The 24,378-nt window shown below is 40.5% G+C and overlaps 1 long non-coding RNA gene across 1 annotated transcript in view, besides 1 other annotated feature; it reads left to right on the top strand.

Moving 5' to 3' along the window:
• Positions 4,860-5,029: an enhancer, noted in NCBI's record as "experimental_108990 CRE fragment used in MPRA reporter constructs". NCBI's record gives its function as "activates a minimal promoter by MPRAs in K562 erythroleukemia cells, with activity observed for the introgressed 9:93347126 variant allele {active_cell/tissue: K562}" and the evidence as "EXISTENCE:reporter gene assay evidence [ECO:0000049][PMID:34662402]".
• LINC01501 (long intergenic non-protein coding RNA 1501) overlaps positions 7,042-24,378 on the top strand; it is a 120,315-nt gene continuing 102,978 nt past the window's right edge. The window contains exon 1 of the long non-coding RNA NR_034157.1: positions 7,042-7,260. This is a non-coding gene — a long non-coding RNA (long intergenic non-protein coding RNA 1501). The remainder of the gene's footprint in view (positions 7,261-24,378) is intronic.

Genomic DNA, 24,378 nt, shown 5'->3' with positions numbered 1-24,378 from the left:
ATGAGTTTCTGCACCATCGTTCCCTTCCCACTGTAACTCAGCCTCCTGCCACATCATTATTCTCTTCCTACCAGTGCCTCTTTCTACCAAACATTTTCCTTCCTTCATTCTGCTTTGCACATCACAGTGGGCAAAACTTTATTTCATATTGGGTAGGTTTTTGAGGAACTGTTCAATTTTGACTAAGTTTAATTTACATCCATAGGGTTGTTGATGGTGTTCCTTTATTATTCTTTTAATGTCTGTGGAGTCTGTAGTGATATCCACTCACTCCTTCTTGTGTTGGTAATTTGTGTCTTCTCTCTCTCTTTCTCATCAGCTCTTCCAGAGATTTACCAGTTTTATAGTTGCAAAGATCACTGTTTGGTTCAATTAATTTTCCCTATATCTGATTTTGATTTTCATTGATTTCTGCTTTGATCTTTATTAATTCCTTCCTTCTTCTTCACTGGGGTATTTGGGTTTATTTCTCTCTTACTTTTCTGTTTCATAAGGTGGAAGCTTATTATTGACTTGATGCCTTTCTTCTTCTGTAATATAAGCCTTATGTTTATAAATGTCTTTCTAAACACTACTCTTGTTACATCTCACAAATTTTGATGTTGTATTTTCACATGCATTTTATTCAAAACATTATCTTATTTCTCCCTTTAAACATTTTCATAAGGATTGGAAAACTCACTTGGCACCCATGGTAGGCTGAATAATGGCCCCCAAAGATGTCCACATCCTAATCCCTGGAATCTGTGAATGCTAGTTTACATGGTAAAAGGGACTTTGCAGTTGTGCTTAAGATGTGGAGGTTATTCTGGATTATCCAGTAGGGCCCAGCGTAAACACAGGGTTGTTAGAAGAGAGAGACAAACAGGAAATGTGATGAGGAAGGGGTGACAAGCAAGGAGAAGCAGGAAACTGCGAGAAGATGGATCTCTCCTTGAGCCTCCAGAAGGAGGGCAGCTCTGCCAACACCTTAGTCTTAGCCCATAAAACCCATTTTGAACTTCTGATCTCCAGAACTGTAAGATAATGAATGTGTTGTTTTAAGCCACTTAGTTTGTGGTAGTGTGTTACAGTAGTCATAGGAAATGAGTACACCAACTTTTATTTTGAAAAATGTCAGGTCTCCTGATTAGCTGCAAGAATAGTATAATGCACACCCATGGGCCCTTCCCCTGCATTAACGTCCTGCTGGGTTTGAAACCCTCCATACACATGTTCTGCTGGATTATTTGGACATGAGTTGTACACATCATCATGTTGACCCTGACTATTTCAGCTTGAATTGAAGACAATCACCTCTCCTTTATAAACAGTAAACTGATGACATTCAGGTGATTTAAAGTTGCCATATACTTTACCTAACACAGAGTTCATGTCCACATTTCCCCTTTTATGCCAACAATGTCTCTTACTGCCGGGCTTTTCCCCAATATAAGACCCATCAAGCATCCCACGTTGCATGCAGTGTCGTGTCTCCATATTTAGTCTCCTAAATCGGAGTAGTTCTCAGCCTTTTTGCTTATTTCCCTCCAATGGTATTGACGATTTTGCAGAATCTGGACTGGTTGTTTTGTAGAATGTCTTGCAATATGAGCTGTTTCCTCATGACTAGATTCCTGTTCAACATTTTTTGGAAGGTTTATTACATAACGATATTATGAAGTTTTCAGGGTCTTACTTCAGGAGACATTGATACTTTTTTTATGTATGTGACTTTACATTTTATTTTTCAAAATGTATCATGTAGTGACATTTTTTGGCATATAGTTCTATGAATTTGAAGACATGATTAGATTTCTGTAATCCCCATAACAATTGGGACACAGAATAGTTCCATCCCCACAAAATCTCCCAGGCCCAACTCTGTAGCTACTTTGCCAGAATCTGCACCTTAACAGGATCCCCAGGGGATCCTCAAGCACAGTAAGTCTGAGAAGCACTGGTTTAGAGGACTTGAGATAATGTTTGCAAGTTTCATGGCACATAGCAGACTATCACATAGCAGACTATCAATTAATTATGGCTATTTTAAATTATTCTCTTTTATAATTAGACGGCTTCCAAGCTCATACATTCACGTTCCATTATGTGAGAAAGATCAACAAATTTATGGTTTCAATAAAGAAAATTATACTGTGGTCAAAGCCAGGCACAGTCTTACTGTAATCACAGTACTATATCACTTTAGTGGTCATTAAATAGTCTCCTCTTCACTGTGGTAACTTCAGAAAACTTTCATGAGTTGAGATTGTTGACACCTGCTCCCTATGTGCATGTGGTTGTGCACTAGACCCACAACCCCGTGCACACACACAGACATTCACACCTTAACTAAGGTTACTAGAAATAGCTTTTTGTTTTTCCTTATGGAAGACACTGCTATAAAAGTTAATTCTCCACTTAAGCCTTTTACTGAGAAGAACATTCTGCTGAAACTGAGAAGGCTGCGTGGAATGTCCTGGGTCCTCTGCCCATCGTCACTTCTCCTGTAGGTGATTTTAAAAGGATGGTGTAAAATGGCCTGCTGAGGGTGGGCTGGGCAGGGCTAGGTCATGGTTCATGTCACTAGCCTTTGCATAATTATCTAGAGCCCAATGTCCTTGACTTACTCTTTCCTAAATCTTGCTCAATTAGGGACTAAGACTCCCACGTCTTGAGAGGGCCTGAAAAACATAGGGCATATAGGATTCATGGTCCCTCTAATGTCATATTAATGACCAATTTCAAGATCATTTTAATACGTCAGTCCATTAAACCAAAGTGAGTATTCACATATTTGTGTGCTGTCATATTAATGGTAGGGTTCACAGTCCTCAAATGTCAGCTGTCCAGTCCCCAAAACAGACCACTCTCAAAATTCCTGTTGATCAAGCAAAGCTAATTTTGTTAGATTTATTGCAGTATGGGAAACCACCACCCCGAGAGTCACAGTGTCTCCAAAGGGGGAAGTAAGGGCAAGAGGTTTATAGAGTTTTACAGACTAGGCTGGGTGACTTAAAGGCAGTATTTCAGAAGAGGAACTGGTTGGGGTTGGACAGAGGTTATGACCAATAAGTTGGATTGGTGTGCATAGCCAGGTAAGGGTCCAGAAGAAAGTATTGATATTATAAGAGGCTGGTATTGATAGCTAACTATTTCATCGGTCAAGCAACTACTTCGTACAGCAAGTAGCCATGTTAATTTTGCCTGATCCCAGTATTATTTAGCACAGAAATGAGAAAGTATCTTTGTGCTAGAAATGTTTGGCACAAAAACAAGAAAATATGTTTGATCCAAAATTATACAGGAACACGGAGAGGAAAGTTGTTGGTTTCAATACTAGCAAGCAACATCTTGCATCCTGGATCAGTATGGAGCAGTCCTGGGCCTCTGCACTCATCTAAGATCTGAGAGTGATGGGACACTACTGATGTTCTGCCATCCTGCTGAGATGTACACATGTACATCTGTCAGGGGTGTGTGGATGCCAGGCCAAACAGGGGCATCCCTCTCAATGCTATCCTCCGTGCTCTCTCATCTGTGCTTTGCTTTGTTGCTTTGTGGGGCTGTTTTTACGGCTTTGCAAAAACTTGAACTGAACAGCACATCAGAGTGGGGACTTACTGTGTAGACTAGGAAAAGAAAAAAAATTCTATGAGATGAAATATATGAATTGTGAGAAGAATCGAGGCAACATTTAGCATAAATCACTGACAATTTTTGACTACAGTTGCATTTTCCACTTTGAGTTTCATAGAGTGCTATGTCTTTAAAAGAAGGCTTCTGTGGACCAGAGGCCTGGAGATATGGCCTGCATACTCTTGAAAGATCCTTAGTGCTACTCAGCATCTTGCCCCTAAAGGTTCTCTTAGGGAGCCACTGGTGACCCTTGCTTGCTAGTGATGCTCAAATGTATGACCACTAAGTACTTTTAACATTTAACGAATACTCTAGTCCTTCAGAAACCCATTTTAGTAAATGCTGAGCCATATTGATTGCAGAAAGTAGACAAAAGTATCTCTGTAGACCAGAAAGACAGTGAAAAGAGAAAAAAAGGTAAAAAATGAAAGGGAAATGGACGTGATGATGAGTCAACAAATGAGGACTTGTGAATAACTTTGACATTTAGGAATCAGGTTTCCAGCACCACAAGGGCCCTTTCGCTTTACTTTATTTTTTTATATTCAATAATCTTTATTTGAAAAATAGTACCTAAAATAGTACAATTCTAATGCTACCTGTCAAACTTCAATAAGAGCAATTTCAGCGTCAACTAATGAACAGTAGCTAAACTAACAATAGGTCAATCAAAAGTGCTTTAAAGGGGGCAGCACCAGCTGATGTTCTGCGGTGTCTCTGGGCATTCAGGACCTGGCTACAGGGAAAAGAGAATCAAACGAGCAGGTGCTCTGGACCCAAGCCTTCCCATCATGACCTGCCTCCTTCCTGGGGCTCCTGGCAGCCCACTGTCCCCCTGGCACTTCTGGACCCCTGCGGGCTGCAGACAGAACCTCGGGAGCCAAAGGACCTTTCAGGAAAGGTTGGAACTTGGCCTCACAGTCAGCTGGCTTCAGCCTGTTGGGGTAATTTTCTTTCTAGAGCACCTGGAGTGCTCTTTCAGGGGATGTGGCCACCATCCATCCTTCCTGGGCCCTTTTCTCTTGGAAGAGGATCACCTTCTGAAAACTACAAGTGTCTTTCTTTGATTACCTGGACCAGGTATTGGGCCATCTTCTTGTAGCAGTTGTGAGTCTTGACACACGCAGTTCAAGTACCCGCGCACCTTGGGAAGCCTTTGCTTGAGGTCCAGGCAGTAGGCGTCCTCCCACTGAGGCCCCATCATGCATTCTCAGTGTAGTTCAGGCAGAGCGGGAAGCCTCAGCTGCAGCTTCAGGAGCTCCCTCCATGGCTGTGCCCTTGTCCTGCAGAGAGGCCTGCTCTGGTCAGACTTTGGTCTTGTGTTACGCGTTCTTTACTCCTTGTTAATTCTTCCCACAATTGTACATCTGCTGTTCCAATCTCCCCTTCAGGACATTTGAAGGATGGACCTAAGTCACCATTGTCATCCATACTCTTCAGAGGGACTTGTGGCTGGGACGCTGGGGAACCAGTATGTTCTGCTTTCCTGTTCCCCTCCACTGCTAAGTCCTCATCCTCCACGTGGTCTCTACTGCCCTGGAGCAGATGCAGGATGCTCATCGGGGTGTGGGCTGGGGAAGTCAGTTACCTCACTGCAACATTTGTGGCCTGTTTGATTCCTGCCTTGCCCTGCTCTGGCCTTTCCGCCTTCTCCTTCTTTGACTGCAAGCGTTGCTTCAGTCTCGCTATTTCTTGGTTAAGCAGCTCTGCAGTTTGCTGACAGTCAGTGTGGTCATTCATATCATTTGTTCTTTGCTCCTAAAGATCTTCTCCACCATGTGGTGAAGGGTGTAGGATGTGCCTTGCATCAGTTGCTCATGGGAGTTCAGGAGGCCTGCTTTTTCATGCTCTTTTCAGAAGCTCTCCTAGATGGGAAGACCATCTTATTGGGATGGGAAGACCTGCTTATTTCCTTTACAACCCTGAAGCAGAGGGTTTGGGGTGATCAATGACTGGCTTCTAGCCTGGGTGACATGAGGCCAGCGCCAGCCTGGGGTGCTGGCTGCATCTTGGCTCTGGTCTTTTCATGGACCTCGCCCTGGGCTGAATCCCTTTGTGCTAGCTCCTCCCTTATTCTCACTGAGTGTCCTCTCCTGACCACAAAGGCCACCACGGCAGTGCATACCTGGACCACCCAGGGTATCCACAGGGTCGCTGGCGCTAGTCCCAGGATTCTGTACATCACTATCACTGCTGCCCACAGGGTGGCCAGCAGCAGCTGAACAGGCATTGTGTGGTGGGCAGCAGGCCCTCCGTGGCTCCCAAGGGCTCTGCAGCACTGCCTCCACTTGCTAGTGGCCTGTGGGCCACAACGGACCACTTGGAACCCTGCGGAGAGTTCCGTGCCTAACAGAAACAAGGGCCCACCACCAACAGGGTAGATCGTCCGTTGGGCTGGGGGAAGGGGAGGCATCCCGTGTGTTAGAAAAGTGTGTCCCTGATTTCGCTGTGCAAATTGAAAGTGGCATTACTTTTGCAGGGCCTTAGGGGAGTGAAAAGAGCTCCTGGCAGCCCTTAGCTCAGGGCACTCCAGGCCCCACCCGGCCCTACAGCACAGCTGAGGGATCAAAGTAGCGCCATGTCTAGCCCTAAGTCCACACACGATCCTCTCAGGGCAGCGTGGCGGCCCATCCCTGGTGGGGCTCATTACCCCAATTTTAAGTTTCCTTCTGCAGCAGGGAAGCCTGGTCCTGCCTGCAAAGAGTTTGTCTCCCTTGCTAGATGGAGCTCCTTGAAGAAGGGGCTGTTTTCTTCATCTACTCTGACTTCGGACTTGTCACTTTCCCCTCTTGACCTCCATATTCAGATCCGTGAATAGGAGTAAGTGGGTAAAGGCCCCTCTAGCTTTAAAACCCCTCCAATACAGAGAGAACTCTGAAACCAGAACCAGAAGCTGAGGCGCGGTGAATGGAGCATTTTCCCTGGCATGATGGATGGGACCTACGGATCTGGCTGTGAAGGCGGTATCTTGTCACTGGAATGCCTCTGCAGACTCGGACCCTTGCAACACACAGTTTGCAAACCCATTGCAAACCCATAGTTTGCAAATCAGACTCAAGAATGATCTTCAGTATTGGTGGTTTTGTGTGGGTTTTGTTTGTTATTTTTATTTGTTTTTGAGACTTCGTTATTGGCACAACAGCTTCTGGAAATCTGTTTCACAGAGAGTATGGGGGCTTCTTTGGCCAAATGGAGTGGGTACTTATGAGTTCGGTCAGTGCCTGAGGGAGCACTCACTTCCTTGCCTGGTCATATTTTCATTGGTGCAGGCTCCGTCTGCTTGGCAGCCACTGTTTGGGCCACAGCCTGTCCGCAGGGTCCTGCTCCTCTCTAATTTGTTCAGACATTGTGGTGTGTCTGGCCATATCATTTGTCATAGGTGTAAAAACAATCACAACCAAAGCTTAAAGCTGTTGGGATGAGCAGCTGCCTGGGAATCACGCTCCTTCCTGCTCTTTCCAAAAAGCCAGGTGCCGCCGGCCAGCATCCCGCTCCCTTTGACCCGCAGTCTGTGCGGGAAGTAGGCCCGGAGTGGTGCCAGCAGGAGGTGGCCTTAGAAAGGCGGAGACCCAAGGAGCAGAGTGAGTCGGCGTCCAGCTCCACCTGAAAGCGCCATCTTGTCGCCACTTCCCTCAGGAGCAGGTGAGCTCTTCCCCAGGACCCGCTTCGCGGCTTCCTTTTTCCCCCAGTACCACTGGGCAGAGGCCGCGGCCTCTCTGGCCCTGCAGGGGACAGGGCCCAGGGAGGGGAGACGCAGCCTACGGGCCTGAGGCGGGCAGACGGCCTGCGGCCTCCGGGCGCTGCCTGCTCCAGCCCAGGAGCCTCCTGGATCCGCCCTCGGCCCAGGCCTCCCTCTTTCACTTTATTGGTGTCTATGAGGCTTTAGAGATGCAACCGTTACAAACACAGCCAAGTACAATAGACCAGAGCGCTTTCCTGTATGAACGCCCCCTGGGGCAGATGTCCTGGTTTCATTTAGCGTTTAACACATCTTTAGTACCATGGCAAACACTGGAATGCTACAGGCTCTTCGAATTCATAGTTAAATAACTATATATGAATAAACAGGCTTATGAGCTACATTTCCTTGTATTGAATGCCTTTTTATTAAAAATGTATTCAAATGATAAAATACACACCATTACATATTATAATAGTACAGATTATGTCATCTCCAATCTTCTCCAATCCCATTCTTCAATTCATTATAGGTGTATATTCTTTTAAACTTAAAAAATATTTATGTGTATTCTCAATATTTTTCTTTAGTCTTAAAGAGATAAAGAAAAACAGTAATTCATTAAAATCTTAAATTGCCTTTCTCTAATTTAATGAGATCTTTGGTCAGCTAGTATATTTCATTTTATGATGTAAGTTGTTATTCTGAAAAGTATTTTATCAATATTGTTATTTTGAGTCATAATATTAAGATGTTCTCTCTGTGTTTATGATTGACTTTTGTCATTGAGTGACTTATTTTAAACAGTACTTCACTGTTATTTTCCATTAGGAACAGAAAAGAAAGAAGTCAGTTTTGCTGTATTTGATTGAGTCTGAGGATGATGATGGTCTGTAAGGAGGACACTGGTATAAGGAACCTCAAGAAGTTTTTACTCAATTCTATGGCTTGAATGTTTGTTCCCTCCAAAACTCATGTTGAAATTTAATTGCCATTGTAATAGTATTAAGAGATGATGCCCTTAAAAGGTGATTAGGTCAAGAGGGGTGCAGCCCCACAGGTGGAATTAATGCCATTGTAAGAGGATGCATTCAGGCCTTTCTTGCCTTAGCCATGAGATGACGTAGCATAAAGGTCCTTGCCAGATGCCAGCCCCTCAATCTTGAATTTTCCAGCTTCCAAAACAATGAGTCAATACATTTCTATTTACTATAAATTACCCAGTCAGGCATTTTGTTATTGCAGCAAAAACAAACTAAGGCACCCAATATGAGAATTTTATTTCCTTTCTTTTTTCTTTTATAGAGACAGAGTGTTGCTCTGTCACCCAGGCTGGAGTGTGGTGGTATGATAGTAGCTCACTATAGCTCACTACAGCCTCATACTCCTGGGGTCAAGGGATCCCCCCACCTCAGCCTCCCAGGCATGTGCCACCATGCCTGGCTAATTTTTAAATTCTTTTTGTGGAGATAGGGTCCCACTGTGTAGCCCAGGATGTTCTCAAATTCCTGGCCTCATGTGATCCTCTCACCTTTGCCGCCCAAAGCACTGAGATTAAAGGTGTGAGCCACCACACCCAGCCTAAGAATTTTATTTCTTCATAATGTGCCTGTTTTTCATTATGTTAAGCTCTAGTTGGCAGCCTCTAAAATGGCTCCCAGTGATCTCCACTTCCCAGTACTCACACTCTGTGTGATCCTCACCCCTGAGTGAGGACTGGATCATGTGACTTGCTTCTGACTAATAAAATATGGCCATAACGATAGGAAGCCACTTCTGACAGCAGCAGCAGGAGACTCTAACCTCTGTCTTGCTCAGATGCTCTCCATGGCTCTTTTCTCTTGCCCACACTGATGAGCCCCAGGCTGCTGGTGTGACTGTCCTAAAGAGAGGCCCATGTGGCAAGGAACTGAGGGATGCTTCTAGCCAACAGCAAGTGAGAAACAAAGGCCATTAATCCAACAGCCTGAAAGGCATGAATCCTGTGAACAACCGGGCCAGAGACTTTAGAAACAGAACCTGAGATGGCCACAGCCCCGGCCAACACCTTGACTGCAGCTTCCGGAGGAGCCCTGAGACACAGCTAGTCATGATTGGGTTTTTGAACCATAGAAACTGGGAGATAATAAATATTATAATCCACTCAATTTTGGAGAAGGTGGTTATGTAGCAACAGATAATTAAATACTGGCTAATTGTCCACTGATTGCATATTCTACAATGTGTAGATCTCTCTTTAGTTCACATGTGTTTTTTTCCAAACAGTACAGTTGTTTTCTTTTCTTTTTTTTTTTTTTCTTTCTTGTCAAAAAAGTCCAATTTGGGTCTGACAGTATTTTTGACATGGGAAGATGGTACAGATGCAAAAGCATCTCTTTGTGCTTTACTACTTGAGATGTTCTGTATACAATTATTAGCTTTGAAAAGACAGGCCTGTGGTTTATCTCTGTAATTCTGAGAACTTTTAGTTCTGGTTGCCCTAGTCAGGCTAATGTAGTTAAAGGCCATGTGCTGTAGTCACAAAAGTCGCAGGAAAGGCCCTCTACCCTCTGGCTTTAAAAATAGAGCCTAAAACCACTATCCCTAGAACAAGTAATTTAAATTACTCCAAGCTAAAAATGATTGATAGAGGAAAATTTATGAGACTGAATGTGGTAGAAGGAGACTCTGTGGATGCTCTAGATTCTAGAAAAAGAGGCAGAAAAGAAGGGCAGGAGAGTTGAGTAAAGAAATTGCCTTAAAGAAAACTGGCTCCTCTTCAAAATTGTCTCAGGCTTGGGCTGCTGGGTTTGGCAGGGCTATTGTTTAGGGGATCACCTTAGCTGTGTGTCTAGACAAAATGATTTTTCATTTTGTGCTGCGGTCTTGAACTTCAGAATCCATGACCAACTTCTTGAATCAGCTTAGCAGTCCTAAGTGAGCCTTTCCCTTAAAACACACAATTGCTTCTGACAGCAAAAGTCCAATTACAAACAAAAGGGTACATCATGTGAGAATGTTTAGGAATCTTAAGTGACTTGCTTTTCATGATAATAACTGCCTTGTATATTGCAAAATGTCCTCTGGACCCCATGAGAGCTCTACAGAAAATATTGTAGAAAACCTAAGCATCGTGTCCAATGCTCACAGTGGGGTATAACCAACTATCAATTTAATTACAACTTTATTACTTACTATTCAATTTGGTTCCTACAGAGTGTATGTTCCTTCCGGGAATACAAAAAAATTATGTTCTAATTAAAGTATAATTATCCATCCAGTGCAGAAGGGCAGGTGTCACAATCTCTCTGCATCCTCATTACATCTGAGTATTCATGAAGATACCTCACATTTACACTCAGGCCCCATCACCGGACATTACATGTGGATTTCCAGGAAATACAAGGCTTTAACCAAACTCTTTTATTTCAAGTTAAAGAAAGTACAATTTAAAAAAAAATCCATAGTAAATGAAATACAATAAGATTTACAGTGACTTCAAACCCTTTACATTTTTCATTGAAATGCATACTTTCTAGGTTAACATATATTGATTGTTACAATCCTGAAATCAATGTAATGCAGTTGATAAGATCCAGAGTTTATTACCAACACACACAGGTATCGTTTTCACCTTTTTGTCTCCTAGTGTCCAAACTATTTTTAACGATGAGCATGTCTCAGACTTTCTGTATTCCCTATGCCCTGCTTCACTCTCCCATTTCCTAACCAGTCATAAGATTTGTGGACATATTTTTATCTTATTGAGCGGTGTCTCTATAGTTTATTCTTTTGTTTTGGTTTTGCTTCTATGTTTTCACTTGGTGTTTGGTAGCTAATAAACAGGTGGACTAAGATTCACAGGCAGATTTTTGGTGTCAAGAATGTGACAAGGTGACATTGCTTGTGAGTTCAGTCAGTGCCTGAGGGAGCACTCACTTCCTTGCCTGGTCATATTTTCATTGGTTATATGTGCTAGAGCTAAGCTTACTTTCTAATTCATTTTTAATTGAAGTGAAAATCACCACCAATTGCCTGGACATTAAAGTGTTAAAGTGTGAGAAAACAGGATGCAACTCTGTGAAAGAGAAATGCCTTACAATACACAGGTTTCCCTGGAGGTCTGTGTCTACTCAAGGAAGTAAGAAAATACAAATGACTGTTGCCACATCCTCAAGTATGTTAGTGGAAATGAGGCATCTACAAATATTTCTGCTGTTTCACTCATTTTTCACCTGATAGTCATGCCGAGAAATATTCTACACACCTGTTTTTCTCTTGTGCTTAGGAGTTTTAGAACACAACAGACCATGGCCCCTTAAATAGCCTCCAGGGGCTGGATTTGGGGAAAGAGCAGGTTTGCAGATTATACACGGTGTCTGTGGGGCAGAGACTCCACTCATAGAGACTGACTCTAATGAGCACAGAAAGAGTGGAGTTAAAGGAGGAAGAGAAGGGCAAATCCAAAAACAGGAAAAAAAAAATACCCTCAGGGTGTTCCGTCCTTCCCTCTGTCAAGCTTCTGAGCTCTTCCCCTGGGCAAGGCAGCGCAGAGGCCATGTATGAAACAGAGGGGAGGCACAGAAAGAAGAACGTGTTTCAGGGGTGCCAGTCTAGGATATGAGATGGATCTCAGAGGGAGAAAGCTGAATATTTATAGCAAAAGCAATGCTAAATGAATTATAGGCCTAGTTTAAAGAAAGAGGCAAAACTATAGATCTAAATGGCAGCTGAATTCTAGGCAAAATTAATTAACTATAAATGAACACAGAAAACTTGAATGTATTTTTCTTTCAAGAATAAAAAATACATTAACAAGCCAAAAAGGTTTTCTGTAAAGAAACGGATATCAGGTTTGTCTCAGAATTTTATTGTATGAATTTTAGTGTATAGAAATCAAAATGAAATACCTAACCCATGTAAGTTTTATTATTTACATCCTGCAATAGTGTATTCTAGTTAGTACTCTGCTGGTCAGCAAATAATGCTAATAGAAAAATCAAGAATGGTGAAGATGAAGTTAAAAAAACTGATGACAAGTAGGAATAAAGCTCAAAAGATACTATTTCATTTCTTATATTTTTAATAGAAAAACTCTACAAAAATTTTTTTTTTGTTTGTTTGCTTTTTTGTTTTTTTGTTTTTTTTTTTTTGAGACAGAGTCTCGCTCTGTCGCCCAGGCTGGAGTGCAGTGGCGCGATCTCGGCTCGCTTCAAGCTCCACATCCCGGGTTCATGCCATTCTCCTGCCTCAGCCTCCCAAGTAGCTGGGACTACAGGCACCCATCACCACTCCCGGCTAATTTGTTTTTATTTTTAGTAGAGACACGGTCTCACCATGTTAGCCAGGATGGTCTTGATCTCCTGACCTCGTGATCCACCTGCCTCGACCTCCCAAAGTGCTGGGATTACAAGCATGAGCCACCACGCCTGGCCTACAAAAATGTTTATGTTTAAAAAAAGAGACTCAAAAAATCAATAGTAATTAAAGTAGCTTCTCATTTATAAGAATAAACCACAAATCATCAGACATTTAAGGAAATAAAAGATTTATGATAAATTAACAAAATAAAGCAAACAAAACCAAACTTTTGCTGGAGGAATAATCCAGAAAAAAAAAAAAGAAAAAAAAACATTTAACTAATTTGAATTAGAATCTTCACAGAGTTTTAAGAGGTCTGGTATTATTATTAAAATAATACAAGTTTGCCATGGAAAGAGAACAGCAGGAGAATAAATAGTAAAGTATGTTTGGAGATTAAAATATTGCCAGACTGAAAACATTTGTAAAGGGGCTGCATGAATAAGAGAAAACAGCCAGAGATAGAATCAATAATTGGGAAGATGTTGAGAAACTCTTCAAAGGTGTTAAAGGAAAAAGGAAGAATGGGACAGTAAGGGTGAAAAGCTTAGGAATGTAGATACCCTCATCCAGGAATCCCAGAGTTTATCTAAGAGGATTTCTAGATGGAGAAAACAAAACAAAACAAAAATGAAAGAAAAATTGTAAGAATAATAACAATGTCAAAAATAATAAAGTAAAACATTATCTGATATGTAAAAAGTAACTGTTTACCTGTGAACCTTGTATGAATTAAAAATTGTTGAGACAGCATTAAGGTTAAAAAAAGGAGAGAGAGACAATATAAACAATATAACAGTGTAAAAGATTTAGTTAAGGAAGAAGTGAAATAAAGCTAAAAGGAATTTTTTTAAAGGATTTATTTTAATTAGGAAAGAGACAAAACATTGTTTCCTTTCATATCCCTCAAACAATACTATGTAGTTCTACATAAATATTTCTACAGTGTTAATATTGTGATTGCCATGTTTTAGTTTTTCATTCTTATAACTAATCTATAGGCAAATTTTTAAAGAAATAAGTATAGTTTCAAAATGGAATGTATATGTTGGAAACTTTAAAACATAGTAAACAATAAAACCAACAAAAATTGGGATGGCAGGAGAGAGAAAAGGAAGAAAACAGTCAAATATGCTAGAAGGAAATGATTTAATCACATTAGAAAGCTAATAAGTCAGTAAATATAGCTATATGTAATGTATATATACATATCTGTATACATATATTTTTTAAATAAAAATTTTAATAAACATCATCTCAAGGGTACATATTATCAACATGACATCACTATTGATGTTCATTTTGACCACGTGGCTGAGTAGCATTGGTGAGGTTTCTCCGCTCTAAAGTTATGTTGTTTTTTTTTCTCTCCATTTTCCATATTGTACCCTTTGGAAGGGAGTCACTGTATGCTGCCCACACTTAAATGCAGAGTAATGCTTTATTACCCTGGGGGTGGCTATCTATATACATTATTTGAAATTCTTCTGCATAGAATATTTATCTATTCTGCATGTATTTATTATCCCATCATTTATTCATATTAGAATGGACATGTGGATATTTATTTTATACATTGTGCTATAAGCCAACATCACTTTATTTACTTATTTTTGCTCAAATTGTTCCAGTTTTGGCCACTGGGAGTTTTCAGTTGACTTTAAGATTCATGGACATACTCCCGTCATTTTGTTTTGTTTTTGAGCACTTTCTTACTTGTTTGTACTACAAGATGCTCCAGGCTTGTCTTGTATATTTTCTGTCCTAGTCCTAGGATCAGCCATTTCTCCAAGGATCCCTGTTTTCTTTTATTGAGAATGGTATTAGAAACCAAGATCTGGGCACTATATGTATTCATTGCTACTGGGGTTTGTTGCTTCTAGACCCTCTCAGCTGACAAAGCAAGAAAATACATGTGTGTGTATGATCCAATCTATATATACACTTCTGTGAATATTTCTATTTGTAACCATCTGTATTTATGTTAGGCAGAACATAATTTCTGCCTAACATATGCTATATGCCTAACATTTCTGCCTAATATTTATGCTGTGTCCACAACTCTAATGCATTATCAACGAAACATCATTCTAACCTCCTTCTCTTACTTATCTGTAACTCATGGCCCCCAGTTGTGAGCAACCTGGCTCCAGTTGTCTTCTATCCATTTGCTTAATTGTCCCATTGCAGCACACATGTATAGTAGTATCAGCATTGATAATCTGCACCCGAGTGAGAAAAAACTTTATCAGCCACAGTACAGTGTTATGCACAGTGTTTTTTTTTTTGCCTTTAGTCTTACAGACTCTATTTTTTTCCCCCAAAGTTACTTAGGTTAAAACTTTTCCCCTAATTCCCTTCAGTGACATTTCCTCATATATTTGTGATAGACTTAGATTTTGGGGGGTCAGATTCTGTATTCTCTCCAGGATCAGATTGAATAAAATTTTAAATTCATAAATCCACTCAGAAGAAACACTAAAAATAAGAATAATATTACCATACAAAAAAATGAGGGTGTCTGGGAAGAAGAGAAAGGATGAAGTAGTAGATAAGCTAAATTTCTTTTTGGTTAGTTATTATTTCTCTTGTTTTATTATTTTATTGCATATTATTAATTATATATATTTCAAACAGGAAAATACAAAAAAAAGTATTTTGATAAACACTATTACCCACCACTTAGATTTAAAAATTGTTAACCTTTAGATATACTTTCTTTAAAACTTTAAAAATTCTTATTACAAAAAAATATAAACATATAAAATAGAAAGCCTCCATATACCCATCACCCACCTTCAAAAATTATCAATTCATGGACAACCTTACTTCATCTATATTCCCACCCATTTCTCTCACCCTGTATTATTTTGAAGCAAATTCAAGGTATCATGTCATTTCAGGTATAACTACTTCCGAACATTTAAAGATAAGGATGGCTAAAAACATAGTGAAAATAATATGATCACAACAAAAAGTGAACAATAATTTATTAATATGATTAAAATTCAATTTGCATTCACATTTTCTATTCTTTCATAAATGTCATCATTATCTAGATTTTTCTTACCATGTTTGAGTCAGGATCCAAATAAAATGCACCCATTGGTCTTGATGATAGGCCCTTTACATATTTTTTATCCTTGATCTTCTTCTCATTTTCTCCCCCTTCCAATTCGTTGTTGAAAAAATCTGCCCATTTGTTCAATACCTTCCCATGTTCTGGATTCTGATTATTGTCTTTGGGTGGTGTCAAATTTAACATTTTTCCTGTCCTCTCTACTTATAAATTGTAGTTGGATCTAGAGACTTGAAAAGATTCAGATTATTTATTTTGACAGACTACTTTACAGTTGCTGATGGACTTTTCCATCAGAAGCCACATACTCTCTGATTGTCTTCTTTTGTGATATTGGCTGTTCTGATGTTTAATGTCTAAATAATTATTAGGATTATAAAATGGCACCATTCTAATTTTATCTTTCCTTCTCACTCATTAGCTGGAATATACATGTAAGGAGAAACTCTGACTCATCTACTCCTTGGCTAGCCAGCGGTAGACTCCGTATAGGAAATGAATGACTTTTCCCCTTTACTTACCAGTTTTCAAAATAGTGACTTAATTTATTTATATGCCACATGTCTTATCCTTAATAATAGCCCTGTCTGAAGTTTAAACAAGAAATAACAGAATGTGTATATTGTATTTTATTGAGTTATAGGGATCAACACCAAAAAACTGAAGATAGAAAATGTTGATAGTGGTTGTCTCTGGAGACAGAGGTTGTGAATGGCAGGAAAGAGGCTATTACTTTTTATTCGGGTCCTTTTTTAACGTGTGTGTTTTTAAAAGCATATGCAAATTTTACTACTACTACTATTGTTAATAATAATGACAATAATACTTTTATCAGGAATTTTTAATTATGTGGGAAAATACTCATTTATACTATTTAAATGAAAAAGATATATATAATATATAAACTCACGTAATTGCATTAAGATAGGCAATGAATCCAGCTCAACAGAGAAAAAAGAGACAGTTAGAAGGTAATTATAACAAAACTAATGGCCAAGAGCTTTGAGCACAAGATCGAGTTCAGGTCTTACAACAGCTCTATAGCTTAGTATTATAAAAACATTCTCAGGAGTTTAATAATTTGCCCAATATCACCTAGTCTGGCTCAACTTTTAATCTGTATACTCTTGCTACTTGTACAAAGTGTGGGCCACAGACCAGCAGTGACAGCATCACCTGGGAGCCTGTTGGAAATGCAGAACCTTGGGCCTGCCCTAGACCTACTCACTCAGAATCTGATTTTTAACAGAATCCCTCATTAATTCATAAGCACATCAAAGCTTGACAAGCTCTGCTTTATAGTCTACTTATTAGTGAGTAGGGTGAAGGGTGTGACCCTAATTGTCTATTTCTCTGTCTATGTATCTATTTGTCTATCAATCTATCTATCTATCTATCTATCTATCTATCTATCTATCTATCCATCCATCCATCTCCTTTTATCTGTATCTGTGCATCCATCCACCCAATGTTCAAATTGTAAATTGTCTTACAAATGTGGTTCTCTTACACTTTGATTCTTTGAAATGATTATTTGAAATTTATTGAAATCCAAATAATGTCCATTGCAGCTTCCTCCTCCAGTTTTTATTTCTTGTATCTTTTGATATTTATGTGTGCATGAATCTGGATTGTTTCCTGATTGTCTGGGATATCATTTAATATGTTTCTCTGTCCTATGCATTTCCTGTATTAGATAATTGAGTATGGAGGCTAGATCAGATTCGGGTTTGATTTTCTCAGAAAGACTATTTCCTAGCGAGTGGTGTTTGCTCTCTCTCTCCTCTCTTCCTCCCTTCCTCTTTATGTATGTACATATCTTGTTCCAGTATCTACCTAATGAAATAATGGCTGTATTTCAAAAGATTAATAATAGGTATTACAAGAAACACTTTCAAATTGTTTTCCTAAAAATAAATAAAATTTAAAAAGCACTGGTTCAGTGCAAGTTAATATAATATTTGAAGAATCACTTTCAAGTAGTAATGTGAGCAATAGAGCAAGGAGGTCATGTTAGGATAAGAAACTGAAAAAATAAGGCCACAGATTACGCCTGGCAGCTTTGCCTCAGCAAAGCTTCACATAGTTCATAAGAGCCTCTTCTCCTCTCTCTAACTGAAGATCAAAGAATCATGTATTTAAATGCCACATGGCAGAAAATGGACACCATTTAAACCAACAAAGCAACAACAGCATCAGCCCTGGAGTGGAAGAGGCTGAGAATGGTGACGCACACCTCCATTGCCTTCAGCACACCTCACAGAGGAATGTAGAGCAGGGACACAGAGGTGGTGTGGCCTGTGACCTGACCTGAAGACCCACCGGGATCATTGGTGTGTGTGTGTTTATGAGAAGCCAGAGCAACATTTATGCAGCTTTCTACCTATTAGGGGGCACATTTTCTTCGAAGTTGTAGAGGAAACTTGTGAAGTTAAATGTAACATGACCTCTTTATCATGAGGCAGAAATTCTAATGATTGAAGTGTGGGTGACCCAAATTCTCCTCTCTCCTTCTGTATTTGTTCTCTATTGTTGCTGTAACAAATTGCCACAAACTTAGTAGCTTAAAACAATATAAATTTATTCTTGTACTGTTCTGGAGATCAGAAGTCCAAAATGAGCTTCACTGGGCTGAAATCGGCAAGGCTGGCGCATTCCGGAGGCCATGAGGGAGAATCTGTTTCCCTGCCTCTTTCAGCTGCAAGAGGCCACCTGCGTTCCTTGGCTTGAGACCCTTCCTCTCATCACAATAGCTTTTTCTTCTGTTGTAGCATTTCCTAGTAATCACTCTGATCCCATGTGCCCTTTCTACAAGGACTCTTGTGATTACATCAGGCCCAACTGCATAATCCAGGATAGCCTCCCCATATCAAACTCTTTTATTTGAATCACACTTGTAAGTCTGGTCCTTCTTCATTCATCCCACATGGCTGTGCCAGCTGACCTGTTCCTGTGGGCACTGCGAGATGAAAAGGAGTACGCTCACTGACAAACTGCTTTCATGGCAGGGAAAGCATGAAAGAGGATTGATGCCCATCAATAGTGGAATGGGTAGATACAATGTGCTGTGATAGGATAGAGTAGTTAAAAGGAATACATTATACAAATGCATAAGGATAAATACATAGAACTCAAAAGCCATGATACATAAAAAAGTAAGTTGCAGAACAGTATTAGTTATGTATATTATTTTATGACAAAAACATACATATCTTCATACATATGCAGACATAATAATATCATAATAGATTAGGAGGATGAATAATAAACTCATATTAATGCTTGCCTGTGTGGAGTGAGGGAGATGGATCTGGGAAGAATTGACAAAGGATACAACAGCATTATTTATCATATTTTATTACCTTTAAAAAAGTCAGATATGCGGAAGTACAACATCTCTACAAAACAGATACAATTCATTAAATGTATTGCTCAATGGATTATCACAAAATTAACCCAACTGGTTACAACCAGATCAAGAAATAGAACATTTTTAGACTCCAGAAGGCTTCTTCTTACTCCTTCTAATCATGACCCCTTCCTCCTGCTCTGTAATGCCAGAAATTTGATTTGCCTAATTTTGAACAATGTATAAATGGAAATAGAGTCATAGGATATATAGTCTTTTACATCAGGCTTCTGTCACTTAACATTATGTCTGTGAGACTCATCCCTGCTAGTCCTCATAACAGTATTCATTAATTTTCAGTGCTGAGTAGTATTTCTGTACATAAATATCTCACAACCTATTTATTCATTTGTCCTCATAGCCATGTGCTGCTTCCAGATTTTGGCTACTAGGAAGACTTTTGTATGCACCTTTTGGTGCACACATGTATACATTTCTTTTAGATATGTGCTTAAAAATGGAATTTCTTGATTATAGGGCGTGCATATGTTTGGTGTCAGTTATTTCCAACATTGTTGTACCAGCTATCATGCTCACTAGTAATGTGTGTGTGCATATAAATACATATATTACATATATACATTTTTTTTTCTTAAAGTGAAACAATAAAGAGGGGATACAATGGAGGCAGAAAATTCCTTTGAGAAATGTTGCTGAAATTGGGAACAGATAATTTCTCATCAGGGAAATAATGAATGGATAACATTTCTCTGCTGAGAGAAATGACACAATGAAGGGAGAGAGATGACAATGCAGGCAGAAGGGCCATCTACAGTAAAAAGTCCTTCAACAGTTAGAGATAGGACCCACAACACAACTGGTGGAAGTTTGCTGTGATGGGAGGAGGGACACTTTCATCACTTCACAAGTGATTAGCCCTAAAACATGCGTTCAGATTTGGTGAGGCAAAGGGGTTGACTTGCTGGTTCCTGTTTCTCTTTCCTCAATGAATTATGAGAGGAAGTTGAGGAAAAGGTGGTGTTGGCTTGAGGCCAATAGGGAAGACACTTGATTTAATTAAAGTAACACCAGCTGCTGTGACAAAAATAAATGCAATGAGAAAATAAATAATTTCCCTTATAACAAGAAGTTAGGCAATACACATTTATATTTTGTTCAGAATTAATACACCTGTTTCTGGGGAGGCTCTGCTCCACACAGGGATTCAGAGACCCAGGCTCGTATGCCTTACTGACCTACAATCCTAAGCACATGTCCTTTCAGGTCACTGAAGAAGAAGAAGTATGGCATCCCACACATGGGGGCTTGGGAAGCATAAGCCTCTGTTAACATTCACAGGGCTTCTCCTGATACCAAGGGAAGTGCCGTGTGAACTCGGTAAAGTGGAAAGAGATGCAGTTGAGCAGATCAGGCTCAACTTCAGCTGTATCTTCCGGTTTTCCTCCACACAAACACACACTCATCCCTCTCCAAAGTCAAGGGCCAACAGCCCCTTTCTGCTTTCATTTCAGGTTTACAGCCTAATTCCTACTCGTACAATTTGAGAAGCTTAAGAGGTGTTTTAAAGCTTGAATGATCAAAAACTTCAACAGTCAAATGCTTTTTACGTTTTGCCTCCTTTTTCAAAATTTAATTTCCGCTGGAACCAAATAGGCCTTTGAGCTATGTTTTTTTGAGCAGAATTATATATCATACATATCAATAGGTTTCCTAAGCATAATTCTCAGGTCTCTTTTATTTTTCTGTTTCCTCAGCCCTACATCCTTTTTTTTTTTTTCCAAACTAACAGTAGCTACCTGGAGGACGTCCAAAACAATGAGCTTGAGTAGGATGAGAGGCTCTTAATTGGGTCTTTGTGACAAAGTGGAATTGCTTTATGTAACGGAAGAATCATAATGGGCCTGTTTTGTTCAGTGCATTTTACAGTCTACTTTTTGAAATTTGAGTTGAAAAAATAGTTTATTCTCCCTATGTTTCAAGGACCTAGCTTTCTGGATTCTTTCTATTGCAAACTGAATAATCCTTTCCTAAGTTCATTTCTTCCTCAATGTAACTTGCTAAATGCAGAAAATAAAAGTTAATGCATTCTGTCGGCATGACGCTTCCAAACATGTTGCTGAAGGTCCGAGCTTGATGGATGGCTTTTTAGGAGCCGTACCTGAAAGGCGTGCACATCACCTGCTCATGTTCAATTTGCAGAAGCTCAACCACACGGTTGCATCTAAGTGCAAACTCTTCAGCCTTACAAACACAGAATTTCAGGGTTGCTAGCATGAAAATGAGGCTGCTGTGTGGGTGGGAGAGGTCTGGGGGTGATAATGGGGGATGGGAGATGGGTTCTGCTCTCAGTTTCCCTATAAGCAGTAGCTTCTAACTATTGACCTCCTTATTGATTACCTAAGAAGCAAGCAATTTTTCTAAGTGGGCATTACTTTTTCCCAGGAAAAACACATCTTAGTTGTATATGTGGAAAACATTTTCTTGTTTATATAACTTGTTTCTTGTGAAAAAAGGTACTCTGACATTATTATTATTACTATCATTAATTATTTGAGACAGGGTCCTACTCTGTTGCCCAGGCTGGAGTGCAGTATTGCAATCATATCTCAGTGCAGCTTTGACCTCCCTGGCTCAAGCAATCCTCCTGCCTCAGCATCCTAAGTAGCTAGGAAGGTTAGTCTGACTCTCTTCTCAAAAGAAGGAATGTATGCTGTGCACCTCAATCCTGTTTGTGCCACGGTATTATCTCAACAAGAAGAAAGGCAGGTTTACAGAGAAACGTGGTATATAGTCATGCGGTATTGGGAGCTCCTTCGAGATTTGTGTTTGTGGGATTCAAAGTGATTGTGTGATTTTCTTTCCAACCTTTCTGTTGTTGGGTTTCAGGCATGGAGAAAGTAGAGAGTTAAGTGTAACCAGTGTTGGGATCTTGGCCAAATGAGTCTAACAAGGTTTCAAGATGGCAATGATGTTGAGTGTCTTAGATTGGTGAGTATACTGATGAATGGAGGAATCCAAGTAGAGAAAGGAGCGAAATGAAGGCGGGAAAGGTGAATAGATTGTGAGTAAACAGTGTGGTTAACCAACTGGGAGTATTAACGGGGTTGAAGAATGATTGCGTGGAGGTGCAGTTATTGAGCACGTGACCAGGGAGTACAGGCAGTGATGGTTTGCGAGTTCTGAGTTGTTGCAGCCACGATGGACCATAGGGAAGAGACAGAAATACAGGTTTGTTTTGTTGCAAGTAAGACAGGAAATAGAGAGGCCATGATATCAAATGCACCCTCCACATGGAAGCTAAATATCCAAGTTTGTTGGGGTTGAGAGGATTCCTATAAGCCTGGTAGGAGCAGGGAACAGTGGTCATATGAAATTCTATTGGCACCAATGACCAGGAGGAGGGGACAATGTTATTTCCAGTGAAACAGGCTTCCAATACGCAGGCAGGTTTGTTGTTTAGTTGTTATTGTTGTTTTGTTTTCAGGAAGAAGAAGAGATTTTGGAGTAGCAATGGAATAATGACTGGAGACTGCAAGAGGTAAACTGAAGGGAGCTAACAAGAAACAGGACACGGCGGGCACGGTGGCTTACACCTGTAATCCCAACACTTTGGGAGGCTGAGGCGGGCAGATTGCCTGATCTCAGGAGTTTGAGACCAGCCTGCCCAACATGGTGAAACCCTGTCTCTACTAAAAATACAAAAGATTAGCCAGGCGTGATGGTGGGTGCCTGTAATCCCAGCTACTCGAGAGGCTGAGGCAGGAGAATTGCTTGAACCCAGGAGGTGGAGGTTGCAGTGAGCTGAGATTGCGCCACTGCACTCCAGCCTGGGTGACAAGAGCAAAACTTCATATCAAAAAAAAAAAAAAAAAAAAAGCAGGACAGCAGGTCTTAGCCAAAAGAAGGAGAGGGCCACTTTCTGAGAAGGCGTTGAAGACGCAGGGTCATTTCTTAAACGTAGAGTGCAAATTCCAATGTGGACAGCAGAAAGAGGTGAGGGAAGGCAGGAGGCCTGGGTGGGGTGAGGTGCTGGCTCAGTGGGTAGGCAGAACCCAGATTATGCTGGAGGGGGTCAGGCCTGGAAAACTGGTGGTTACTCATGCAGCTGAGTATTATCCCCGAGGTTCTCTTCCCAGTGGGTGGGTAAATGTTCCAGCATATTTCTGCAGCATTATCTTTAAGCCACCTTATCTGAAGTACCATCATGTTCTCTTGGGAAACTTTCCCTTCCTGCTAGAAGAAGTTCTACTCTTCAGCTTTATAAGTAGGAGATTTCAGTGTTGCTATCATGAGAATGAAGCTGATCTCTGGGTGAGAGAGTTTTGGGGGTGGTGATGGGGGAGGGGAGATGGGTTCTGCTCTCAGTTTCCCTATAAGCAGCAGCTTCTGACCATTGACTTCCTTGTTAATTACCTAAGAAGCAAGCAGTTTTTCTAAGTGGGCATTGCTTTTTCCCAGGGAAAACACAGCTTAGTTGTACATGTGGAAAACATTCTTGTTCATGTGACTTCAAACTTGGCTTCTTGTGAAAAAAAATAACTCTGACGTTATAGTTATTATTATTATTGGAGACAGGGTCCAACTCTGTTGCCCAGGCTGGAGAGTAGTGTTGCAATCATAGCTCACTGCAGCCTTGACCTCCCTGACTCAAGTGATCCTCCCACCTTGGCCTCCTAAGTAGCTGGGGCTACAGACACAGACCATCACATTCAGTTAACTTTCTTAAAATTTTTGTAGAGATGAGGTCTCACTATGTTGCCCAGGCTGGCCTCCAACTCCTGGGCTCAAGCAAACTCTGATATTATTATGTCATGAAATGTTTTATTTTTCTTCAGCTTAATTCAAATTATGAGAAAAAAATATGCACTCCTACCCACTCTTTTTGGCCCATCTTGGATGAGTGATACCAACCTGAACTAAATTCTTATTCTTAAATTGCACCTGTGGTAGGTAGCTTCTGAAATGACCCTCAATGGTCCTCACCTCCTGGTATTCACATACTGTATAATCCTGTATAATATGAGTTGGCCTTGGTGACTTGATCGTGATGGACAGTAGTGATGGGATGTCGCTTTGAGATTAGAGTATAAAAGACCAGCTCTGTCTGTGGTTCTTTCTGGGGAAGCCAGCTGCCATGTCATGAGGCTATCCTGGGAGAGGCCCATGTGGCTCAGGACTGAGGCTGAGGCTGGCCTACTGGGTGCAAGTCAGCCAGGAGATGGCTCTGTATGACAGCTGCACTGCACCATCAGGAGAAACCCTGGGCCAGAGGCATCCAGCTGGGCCATGGCC

This window comes from Homo sapiens, chromosome 9 (assembly GCF_000001405.40).
Source record: "Homo sapiens chromosome 9, GRCh38.p14 Primary Assembly".
NCBI lineage: Eukaryota > Metazoa > Chordata > Mammalia > Primates > Hominidae > Homo > Homo sapiens.
Note: the sequence above shows the minus strand (reverse complement) of the source record. Positions and strands in the feature narration are given on the sequence as shown.